Below are 12,521 nucleotides of genomic sequence, written 5' to 3'. Positions count from 1 at the left end.
AAATAAAGCATTTGGAGTCACTTTTTATAATGTAAAAATAACAAAGAGGGCTCTGTTGGCCTAGGTGGTTCATTAAAAAGTCTCTAATAATGTATAGGGTTGCCAGATTTTGCAAATAGAAAACTAGTATGCTCAGTTAAATTTGAATCAAATGAACAGCAAATAATTTTAAGTCTAAGTCTATCTGGCAGAGAGCATGGGATTTTATCTGGTAAACCCACCAAAAATATCAGTAGACTGCAAGCAGAAATCGTCATCTAACTTATTTTTATATTTCCAAATTTTAGCACAATCCCTGACCCATAGCAAGTGTTTAATACATAATTCTGGAATAAAGCAATCATTAGAATATCTATTTGGAAAGCTGTTGTTCATATGACATATTGCTTTTATCAAGCTTTTTCAGCTTTGCTTTTCTCACCTGTTAAGTAAAGATAATAGTAACTGCCTCACTAATTAATGGAAGAATAACATGGAGTGGGGTATATGAGCATTCTTTATTGGCTGTTAAAGCAGTCTACAAGTGTGCTGCAAATGTGTTATAAACCCCACAAGCAGTAGAGCTACCGTGCATGGTATTTTCAGTGCAACCTCTGCAATATAGAGTAGAACATAAGTTTTCAAAGCATGTTAGTAAGGTCTACATGTTTAGTAATCAAATCCAACGTACTGAAAACAGTTCCCATCGGGCTGTTCCTATTTCCACCTGGAGGAGTCAGCGCCCAGTGTTTAAGCTTGGTTGGGTTTCTGCAGAGAATTAAACTGTGCCTAACTCCTACTGGTTCTCCTGCTGTCTTAATGTCTCCATTGTCTAATTTGGAGATTGTGAAGCAAACATTGGTTTGCTGTGGCAGCTCTGGATAATTTTCCTGAAGCCACCTATTAACAGCATACAAAACCTACTCCAGCAAATCAACAATAAGACCCCACATGGAAGTAAAAGCTGTTTTAACTTTCACCTGGTGTAGCCAGGAAGTTATGAGTTAAGGCTCCATTTCTCTTGCTTTGCTAACATTTTCACATGCTGTTGAAGTAGTGAGTGGTTTTTAGGTGCCATATGTGTTGGCGTAATTACATACACTGGCATAAATTGTTTGATGCAATTTCTCAAACTTATTTAAATTTGTTCTCAGAAATCAAAACAGCTCATTAGCTTCCAAGAATACATTTGTAATTCCTGGAAAATAATTTCTTATGGCATTTCAAGTTTGACATATTAAGCTGCCATTCTTGAGGCCTTCCTGAATTTTAGTTTTGCAGATGCTTATTAATTAAGCATCTGTCTCCTTTACTGGCTTCATCTCAACCTCAAATCTAAATGTTGGTGGCCTTGGAGCTCAGTGCTGGTTCCTCCTGTAGTGCTGTGTGTTAGCTGATCTCACTCAAACCTGTGACAATTAAACATCTCTCAGCTGACTATTCCCATATTTCTCTAGCCCAGTGTTATCTTCTGAGCAACAGACTGCACAGTCTAATGGCCTTTTTGACATCCCCACTTGGATGTCATATATTTCTGAAACTTAACACATCTGAAATCAGCCGCTTAGTCTCCCTCCGACCCCTCTCCGCACTTCAGTGAGTACTCCTCTCTCTCGCAGTTGTTTGTCTCCTACATTGTTCAGTAAAGGACAACATCCACCCAGTTGCAAAAGCCAGATATTTGGGGTTTTTTTTTTTTTTTTTGAGTAAGAGTCTTGCTTTGTCACCCAGGCTATAGTGCAATGGCATGATCATAACTCACTGCAGCCTCAAACTTCTGAGCTCAAGCAATCCTCCTGCCTCAGCTTCCCAAGTAGCTAGGACTATAGGTGCATGCCATCACACCTTACCAATTTCTTTTTGGTAGGTACAGAGTTTCACTATGATGCCCAGGTTTGTCTTGAACTCCTGGCCTCAAGTGATCCTCCTGCGTCAGCCTCCTGGGGTTACAGGCATGAGCCGCAACCGGCCAAGGGGGTTTTCTTAACACTTTTGATCACTCATCTTCTACCTCTATCCCTTTCCTGACTTGGATTGGATAATCCATCACCAAGGCTTGTTAGGTCTGTCTCCAAAATTGTTTCAGCCCTAGCTACTTGTCTTCATCTCCACTTCACCATTCTAGGTGAAGTCACTATCACCTTTCACCTGAACTCTCTCCTCCATCCTAGTCCGTTCTCCACACAGTTACCACAGTGATCTTTTTAAACAACAAACAAAATCAGCAGACTTTCTTGCTTAAAACCATGCAATAGCTTTGAATTATACTTAGGGGAAAAAAAATCCAAATCTCATCCCATGGCCTGAGGCAGTATCTGGCCCCTGCCTGCCTTTACAGGTTTATCTCACCTGTGAATTCCTCGCTCACTCACTGCATTCCAGCCACACTGGAGTTTTCTGTTTTTCCAATGAATGGTGCTGCTGCCACCTGCCATACTCCACCCACTTCACTCCTTCTTGTCATTCATATCTTTCAGTTCAAACGTCACTCCCACACTCTGAAGCACCATGAAGATAAGAATCTTGCCCAAATGTGTTTACATGACTGAACACAGAGCTGGCACATAGTAGACATCCAAATTTGGTACAGTGAATGAAAGAATAAAGGAAGGAAGGAGAGAATGTACTCTAGATAAGGCCACATCCTTCTGTTATACATCTTCATAGCACCATTCCCTTGCCTTCAACCGCACTTATCACAACTTACATTTTATTAATGAGATAGGTGATCAGTTTCACCTGACTCTTTAGACGCCATGAAAGAACATGTCTGGCTTTGCTTCCCGTTTTATCCCAGAGCCTAGCACATTCCTAGCACATGGTGGGTGCTCAGCACATTGCTGGTTGTGGTTGTTGCTGCTAAATTCTTGGTCCTTATCTCATTTTACAGCTTTAACACAGCTGAGCATATCATTCTGCTTGAAGCACTACCTTCCTCTACTTCTGGATTCTAACTCTCCTACATCCCCTTTTCTGGCTCCATCTTTCTCATTCTCATATGTGGGCTCCTTTTCTGCTCTTAGTCCTTTAAAGTTAGCATTCTGTCCATGGTAGATTCATACTATGGAATACCACTCCGCAATAAAAAGAAACAACAATTGATACACACAACTTGTATACATCTGAGGGCATTATGCTGAGTGAAGAAAGCCAGCCTCAAAATGTTATATACTACATGGTTTAATTTCTATAATGGTTTCAAAATGACATATAGTGATGGAGAATAGACAGGTAGTTGCCAAGGGCTGGGATAGAGGAGGGAGACTAAAAAGGGAAAGCGTGAGAGAGTTTGGGGGTGATGAAACTGTTCTATATCTTACTATGGTGGTGGTTACACAAATCTATGTGTGTGGTAAAATGCTGGGTGAAGGGTACATGGGAAGTCTCTGTACAAGTTGTGCAACTTTTATGTGAGTCTAAAATTATTTAAAAATAAAAAGTTTTTTAAAAGTTAGTATTCTTTCACATCACCTGTCATCAGGGAAATACCAATTACAGCAATGAGATACCATTACTTATCTATTAGAATGGCCAAAATCAGAACACTGACAACATCAAATGCTGGAGAGCATGTGGAGCAACAGGAATTCTTAATTATTGTAGTGGAAATGCAAAATGGTATAGCACCTTTGGAAGATAATTTGACAGTTTCCTACAAAGCTAAATATACTCTTACTGTAAAATCCAGTAATCTCACTCCTTGGTGTTCATTCAAAGGAGTTGAAAACTTATGTCTGCAAAAAATCCTGCACATGAATATTTAGAGCAGCTTTCTTTGTAATTGCCCAGACTTAGATGCAATCGAGATATCCTCTAGTAGGTAAATGGATAAATAAACTGTGGTACATGCGGACATTGGAATATTATTGAGTGTTAAATGAGCTATCAGATTATGAAATGACATAGAGGAAACTTAAATGCACATTACTAAGTGAAAAAAGCCAATCTGAGAAGTCTATATACTGCATGAGTCCAATGATATGACATTCTGGAAAAGGCAAAGTTATTGAGACAGTGAAAAGATGAGTGGTTGTCATAGATTGAAGGGAGGGAGGGATGGATAGGGAGGGAGGCAAAGCACAGAGGATTTTTAGGGAAGTGAAAGTACTCTGTATGATACTCCAATGGTGGATACATATCGTTATAAATTTGTCAAAAACCCATAGTTGGACGTTGCAGTGAGCCAAGATCCCACCACTGCACTCCAGCCTGGGCATGTCAAAAAAACAAAAACAAAAAACCCATAGAAGGTATGACACCAAGAGTGAACCCTAATGTAAACTATGGACTTTGGGTGATAATGCAGTGTTCATGTAGGTTCATCAGTTGTAACCAATGTGCCACTGTGGTGGGGAATGTTGATAATGGGGGAGGCTATGGATGTGTGGGGGCAGGAATTATATGGGAAATATCTGAACCTTCTTAATTTTGCTATGAACCTAAAACTGCTCTAAGAAATACAGTCTATTTTTTAAGAAGTTAGTATTCTATTCTTCAGAGATCCTTGAAGGCCTGTCTTTCTTTACCTCCTGTGAGCTCTCCCTGTGACTCCTCATCTACTCTTTTTTTTCCTTCATTTTGTTTTTATTATAACATGTTTGCTTGATTTACACAAGCATAAAATAAGCTGGGTCCTGTTTTGATCCAGACATTCAAAAATACCATTTCAGAGGCTTCTATAAGAAAGAAAATGCAAAATTTAACCCCACAACTTTCCTCTTTGCTAGAACTGCAAACTACTGCTACAGTTTTAAATAGACTTTTTGTTGTTGAAACTATATGTCCAGGAAAATCTAAAAAAAAAAATTAAACCTGCATATAAATGACTGCATAGCAGAACATGAACACTAACTGCAAACAGTAAAGAAATGAAAGTTAGAAATACTATCAAATATACAAAGGTTCTAGAATCAATCCTTTAAACACATTCCACAAACAGTATTTCAGAACCATTGTTTTGTTCTTTGTAGGCAAAGCCTAGATTACTAAAACCAAAATTGAAAAAAGTAATCCTCTAAAAGGAATCGTTTCTTTGTGATAATTCTTACTTATATCTGTAAGCAAGCAATCCGAGACTTTTTTTAATTTTTGGCTTTTTATAAAGATTTGAGATTGGACATGTCAAGTCACTTTTGTCCCCAAAACGATCTTTCAGAGAAATACTAGAAATTATAAATGGTTAAGGATATTACTTCTTCATTTTTAGTCAGGTACTACACTGATAATCAAAAACTCAGAAGATCTGACTCTTGCTTAAAACTGACTAATCCTTTTTCCAAAATTACTTTAAATTTCTTGGTACCACAAAATCACCTAGAATGAATGTTGTCTTTCAACTTGCCTCATATTAAATAAACTGAGGCCTGAAAAGCAAACCTCCCTCATAACGAGGCAGGCAAATTTTGATACAAATGCACAGGCCAAGTGCTGTAAGCATCAAAATTTCAGTTCTTTTACACTATGCACGCACACACAAAGTTTGCTTCCAACAGCTGTAAGAAAACTAAGCAACATTATGATCAACAATGCCCCTTAAACTTTATAATAACTATATAAGAACATTATTTTCCCTTTAAAATTATTTTTGCCATTTTAAGGTGAGTTTTTGTGATGTTTTCTATTTTCCAAATCTTCATAGGAACCAGAAAAAAGCAGTGAAGCCTCCATGTTTCAGTCAAAAACTCAGTCTCCCTGAAAATACTATGTAACCCAGTTGGCATAATTCCCTAAGACAGTGGGGTTAACAAAAAAACGAATCCACACTTCATCATAAATAATTATCATGACAAGACACCTTGACAAGACATAAAGGCCTGCCCTGAACCTAAATGTGTCTGAGCAGTCAGTGTTGTACTGTAGCTATGACTTCATTTTTGTGTCATTCTTATTAACAAGCTACATTTCTAGGTTAACGGTTCTACCAAATACAAATATGAAAGTTTATTTTTAATAAAAGAATGTTGCAAATTATGGTCAACCACATCTTTTCACCAAATACTTCAAGCATAAAAATGAGAATCTTTACAAAAATATACAGAGACACCACAAATTGGTGGCTGCTCATAACATTAAACAAACTGGACTCTTAAGAGTGGCTTCTCAACAGCATATCATTTTGATTATGATCATTGCCTGGTACAGGGAAAACTAACAAGTGTCTTTTTAATCATCATTGCAACACTGTATTCCTGATAATTTAGGTAAACCAAACTATGAATAAGTGAATGACACACGCCTAAAAATGATCATGGTTTATACTGTCAATGGCCACTGAGCATAGGACTAGTCCAAGACCTTGATACCGATTTTGACCTAAACATAGACTGTGATTTTGACTGAGATTTGGATCTAGGTGGTTCTTTTTTTCCCTAATTCCTTTTCATATCTTGAGCCAGACTTATAATGTGTTTTGGAATCTATTTTTGAGGTGCCTCTAGTTTTGGTGTGAGATGCAGACCTAGAATGTGATTCAGCCTTCATTTCTCTCTTGGGCTGGGACTTGGACCGTGATCTTGAATTGGATTTAGATTTTGAAAAAGATTAATTTCAGTGTTTGAATCTATCATATTTGGAATGGCTTCTGCTATGTGTGGTCTTCCAGTCGGTCTACTGTTTCTAGGACTATACGACCTTCTATAGTTGTAATCAGAAGACAGCCTTCTTGATCTCCTTCTTTTACAACTTTGGCTTCTAGAATGTCTGTATCTGTCATCATCATCATAGCATGAAGAACTGTACACATTCTTCCCTTCCTTGGCTTTCATCTGATTTAGTGTCTTCTGATCCCCCTAGGCAAACTGTATTTTAATCTGCCATCCACAAATCCACTTTCTGTCCAAATTATGTAAGCATCTTCAGCATCACAAACATCCTCAAATTGAATATAAGCAAATCCTCTTGGACAGCGAATGTAGAAATCAAGCGGAACATACACATCAACTATAGGACCATAATGACCAAGTTCACACTGTAAATCTTCATACCTGGTGTCATCGGCCACATTCCTGAAGAAGAGAGATGTGTTCAGCGATACTGGTAGCAGGACATGGTGGTGGTGTGAGTCTCAGCCTAGAGCACTAGCAGTCTCAGCAAACTGTCTGCATCTCCGGCTGCCGATCCTCCACTCCCACTTCTCGTCTACAGTCATGCAGTTGTAATTTCTCATTCATGTTCCTGAGCTCTGTCCCTGCTTCCTGTGTTCCTGTCTTATGTGCCCATGTATCTAGCAACTATACAGATCTATGTGTATTGATCTTGAATAAATTGATGCATATATAGTGATAATTTCTGTGACCATTCCATGAGAAAACAGTTTCTTTTCTATTTATGGGCACATTTTAATCTTGAAGTTTCTATATGGCACAACTAAATCATCCTTCATCAAAATCAATGTATACCATGACATCACAGTCTTCTTATGTGATTTGTGCACTGAACTCCATATTTTTCTGGAAGATATTGTATGTTCTTCCTTCTGGTTGCACCATGGAAATTCTGTGCCTTAGTCACATTTACATTTATATATTTCTTTAGAAAGGCAATGCTTCAGTCCAACAACTCTCCTGCAGTTTAAGTGGAAAACAGTGTTTATTTCTCCTTTCATTTCTCATAGTTTCCCACTGTGCCTAACAATTGATTTTTTAAAAAAAATTTTTAGTGGAGGTCAAACATTGTTTGAATGTGGGGCAAATGGTTTCCCAGGGAGACAGTAAACCAGTCCTTGTAGCTTTCAGTAACATTTTCAGAACAGCAGCTAGACACTAGCCATAGCAGAGTGTGTGCTACAGAACAGGAGACTCAAAACAAAGTCAGAGGAAGCACTGAGAACAAGACAAATAATTTCAAAAGATGAAGAAATGTTCTGCAAGAGTGGTGCCCTTAGCTCCGACCATGTCTCTGAACAAAAATCACCTGTATCCGATGGTAAATGCTGTTTTCCTGGGCACTTGCCCTTCTCCATGTGACTGTTTTTATGCTTCTTGTGCTGTTATCATCACTGTTCATTCTCAGGGGAAATCCATGAGATACAGCTGAAATGACCTGTTGCCTAATTATGATTTCTACGTATACAATTGGCAGTTTTGAAATGAAAATCACTTTAGGGAAATTTTTCAGTCCCTAAAAGAGAAAATTTTTTTTAAAGTTGCTTTGATTTGACTTATTTACATATCAGGTAGTTTATCTGGAGCCCAAACTCTTATTATTGTGTTTAAGAGGTTTCGTGTCTTTGACTTTGCTAACATTTCAGCAATTTATTTAGCTGGATAAAGAAAATGTGGCACATATACACCATGGAATACTAAGCAGCCATAAAAAAGGATGAGTTCATGTCATTTGCAGGGACATGGATGAAGCTGGAAACCATCATTCTCAGCAAACTAACACAAGAACAGAAAACCAAACACCTCATGTTTTCACTCATAAGTGGGAGTTTAACAATGAGAACACATGGACACAGGGAGGGGAACATCTCACACTGGGACCTGTTGAGGTGTGGGAGGCTAGGGGAGGGATAGCATTAGAGAAATACGTAATGTAAATGACGGGTTGATGGGTGCAGCAAACTGCCATGGCACATGTATAGCTATGTAACAAACCTGCATGTTTTGCACATGTACCCCAGAACTTAAAGTATATTTTAAAAAGGAAACATAACAATACTTTTCTTGAGAAATAAATCTGTAAAATGGCAAAAAAAAAAAAAAATTCAGTCATATAGAAAGCATCAGCGATGTCTTTTTTCTGTACAACTCGTAAATAGGAAGATGTATGTGCTCTGATAGGAGCTCTTTATCTGGGGTCCAGGGACATCTGGGGACTTCAGGAGGTCCTGAAATGTACGTACCAAAAATGTACGTAGACAAGGAAATGATATAAAGAAAGAATTCTATATAAGAATCAAGCATTTTAGGAAATAAAGGAATACAAAAGGAACTGAATAAAATGTATGTTTTTCTACATAGGTGAATTGAGATCTTTATCAGCCTAGTGGACATTCCAACTGAGCTGAGGTTGAGCCCATTTCTAAAGAATAAAGGGGAAAACAGCAACATTGGGATGAAATTGTCAGTCCTTTTGACTCGGAGACATTGACTAACATTCAATCTTAAAGACTAAAACATTGGAGGCATTAAAAAAAAGGAAGGAATTAAATTTCTCTTTTTTAAAAACACTATCATTCACTTGTTTAAACATCAGGTTTTATAAATTGATAACATTTTTACTTAATGCGGGAACAAGTTAGAATTTTACTGCAAGTGGCTTTATGAATATTGTATTCAAGAATGAGTAGTCAGATAGTTTCTGGTATATTATTTCTTGGGTTCATCTAAGAGACTGTGATCATCTGATTTTTATGATGATTAATAATAAAACCAGTCAGCCCAAAAGCCCAGCATAGCTATGTGAATTTTTAGCTAAATAATGCTTCTTTTTAAAAATGTGGTTGAATTATTTAAAGTAAGTATAATTCCATAAGCAATTAGCTAACAATGTTTTGTTTAGCCCTGGTCCAAGGAATAAATGTCTTTGCTAGACAGCGTATTAACCACTAGTGTTTGATACACAGATTAATGCTTGCAACAGGGACTGGTAAGTTAAGCATTCTTCCTCAATCTTGTTTCTCTACTCTAAATATATTTATCGAACCCATTTTTGAGACTACGAAGATAAATGCCAATCTGGGCTTTGTCCAAATGATCACAAAATATAAAATACTTGCATCCCAAATAATGAGACTTTATGTTATGTTCATCTTAAAACAAGTTACAGGATCTGAAGTCCTCCATTACTTCCAGTTGACAAGGCTAAAAAAGTAAACACACCATTTAAATGCAAAATGTGAACTTTATATACAAAATCATATGTTGCCTTGCCCTTGGATAGACTTGTGAATTTCATTTATTGGAGTTACTATAGACCAGGAAAGAGAAGAAGTAGGAGCATTTGAGGGCTACAGTGCCACATTGTCTCTTCCCTTTAACCAGGAACTCACATACAGTAAATAAAACCTCAGATTTTCTGTAAAAAAACTTTTCAAAAGGGAAAACTCTACACACCTCTTTAGAAATACCACTCTATCAGTCATTACCATTTTGAATTTCTTCTTTAAATTAGCTTTATGTTAACCAAACCATGTGCTGCCACACTTTGATGTTCTTGCCTGAGAACATATTTAGTATGAATATGATTGATTGTACCTCTATTTCCTAATCCACAAGTGAATACTTCATGTTTCTGATATTTTGAATGAGAGAATCTCTGAAGTTCCATCCAGCTCTAATAGTTCTTTTAGCAATTACTGCGTGCTATCGAGTTCTGGTTCTTGAACTTTTGGGGGACATGGATTCCTTGTTGAGTGTGCAATTTAAGTTATGGACCATATCTACAGTAATATGCACATACACATAATTTTTTTGATATAGTTTTACAGTATTTCAGGACCTCCTGAAGTCCCCAGATGTCCCTGGACCCCAGATAAAGAGCTCCTATCAGAGCACATACATCTTCCTATTTACGAGTTGTATAGAAAAAAGACATCGCTGATGCTTTCTATATGACTGAATTTTTTTTTTTTGCCATTTTACAGATTTATTTCTCAAGAAAAGTATTGTTATGTTTCCTTTTTAAAATATACTTTAAGTTCTGGGGTACATGTGCAAAACATGCAGGTTTGTTACATAGCTATACATGTGCCATGGCAGTTTGCTGCACCCATCAACCCGTCATTTACATTACGTATTTCTCTAATGCTATCCCTCCCCTAGCCTCCCACACCTCAACAGGTCCCAGTGTGAGATGTTCCCCTCCCTGTGTCCATGTGTTCTCATTGTTAAACTCCCACTTATGAGTGAAAACATGAGGTGTTTGGTTTTCTGTTCTTGTGTTAGTTTGCTGAGAATGATGGTTTCCAGCTTCATCCATGTCCCTGCAAATGACATGAACTCATCCTTTTTTATGGCTGCTTAGTATTCCATGGTGTATATGTGCCACATTTTCTTTATCCAGCCTATCATTGATGGGCATTTGGGTTGGTTCCAAGTCTTTGCTATTGTTAACAGTGCCGCAATAAACATACGTGTGTGTGTCTTTATAGTAGAATGATTTATAATCCTTTGGGTATATACCCAGTAATGGGATTGCTAGGTCAAATGGTATTTTGTTTAAGGTGTAAGGAAAGGATCCAGTTTCAGTTTTCTGCGTATGGCTAGCCAGTTTTCCCAGCACCATTTATTAAATAGGGAATCCTTTCTCCATTGCTTGTTTTTGTCAGGTTTGTCGAAGACCAGATGGTTGTAGATGTGCGGTGTTATTTCTGAGGGCTCTGTTCTGTTCCATTGGTCTATATGTCTGTTTTGGTACCAGTACCATGCTGTTTGGTTTCTGTAGCCTTGTAGTATAGTTTGAAGTCAGGTAGCATGACGCCTCCAGCTTTGTTCTTTTTACTTAGGATTGTCTTGGCTATGTGGGCTCTTTTTTGATTCCATACGAAATATAAAGTAGTTTTTTCCAATTCTTTCAAGAAAGTCAATGGTAGCTTGATAGGGATAGCATTGAATTTATAAATTACTTGGGGCAGTATGGCCATTTTTATGATATTGATTCTTCCTATCCATGTGCATGGAATGTTTTTCCATCTGTTTGTGTCCTCTCTTATTTCCTTGAGCAGTGTTTTGTAGTTTTCCTTGAAGAGGTCCTTCACATCCCTTGTAAGTGATATTCCTATGTATTTTATTCTCTTTGTAGCAATTGTGAATGGGAGTTCACTCATGATTTGGCTCTCTGTCTGTTCTTGGTGTATAGGAATGCTTGTGATTTTTGCACATTGATTTTGTATCCTGAGACTTTGCTGAAGTTGCTTATCAGCTTAAGGAGATTTTGGGCTGAGATGATGGGGTTTTCTAAATATACAATTGCGTCATCTGCAAACAGAGACAATTTGACTTCCTCTTTTTCTATTGGAATACCATTTATTTCTTTCTCTTGCCTGATTGCCCTGGCCAGAACTTCCAATAGTATGTTGAATAGGAGTGGTGAGAGAGGGCATCCTTGTCTTGTGCCGGTTTTCAAAGGGAATGCTTCCAGCTTTTACCCATTCAGTATGATATTGGCTGTGGGTTTGTCATAAATAGGTCTTATTATTTTGAGATATGGTCCATCAATACCTAGTTTATTGAGAGTTTTTAGCATGAAAGGGTGTTGAATTTTGTTGAAGGCCTTTTCTGCATCTATTGAGATAATCATGTCATATTTGTCATTGGTTCTGTTTATGTGCTGGATTATGTTTATTGATTTGCATATGTTGAACCAATCTTGCATCCCAGGGATGAAGCCGACTTGAACATGGTGGATAAACTTTTTGATGTGCTGCTGGATTTGGTTTTCCAGTATTTTACTGAGGATTTTCACATCAATGTTCATCAGGAATATTGGCCTGAAGTTTTCCTTTTTTGATGTGTCTCCCCCAGGTTGTTGTATCAGGATGACACTGGCCTCATAAAATGAGTTAGGGAGGATTCCTTCCCTCTTTTTCTATTGTTTGG

The 12,521-nt window shown here is 37.6% G+C and overlaps 1 protein-coding gene and 1 pseudogene across 14 annotated transcripts in view; one reads left to right on the top strand and one right to left on the bottom strand.

The window, feature by feature from the left end:
* The window catches only part of SLC35F4 (solute carrier family 35 member F4), a 419,262-nt gene that overhangs the window by 346,253 nt on the left and 60,488 nt on the right, over positions 1-12,521 (top strand). The gene's annotated exons all lie outside the window — the stretch shown is intronic.
* LOC401777 (serine and arginine rich splicing factor 10 pseudogene) lies at positions 6,437-7,100 on the bottom strand (annotated as a pseudogene).

The sequence above is a fragment of the Homo sapiens genome, chromosome 14 (genome assembly GCF_000001405.40).
Source record: "Homo sapiens chromosome 14, GRCh38.p14 Primary Assembly".
Taxonomy (NCBI): domain Eukaryota; kingdom Metazoa; phylum Chordata; class Mammalia; order Primates; family Hominidae; genus Homo; species Homo sapiens.
Note: the sequence above shows the minus strand (reverse complement) of the source record. Positions and strands in the feature narration are given on the sequence as shown.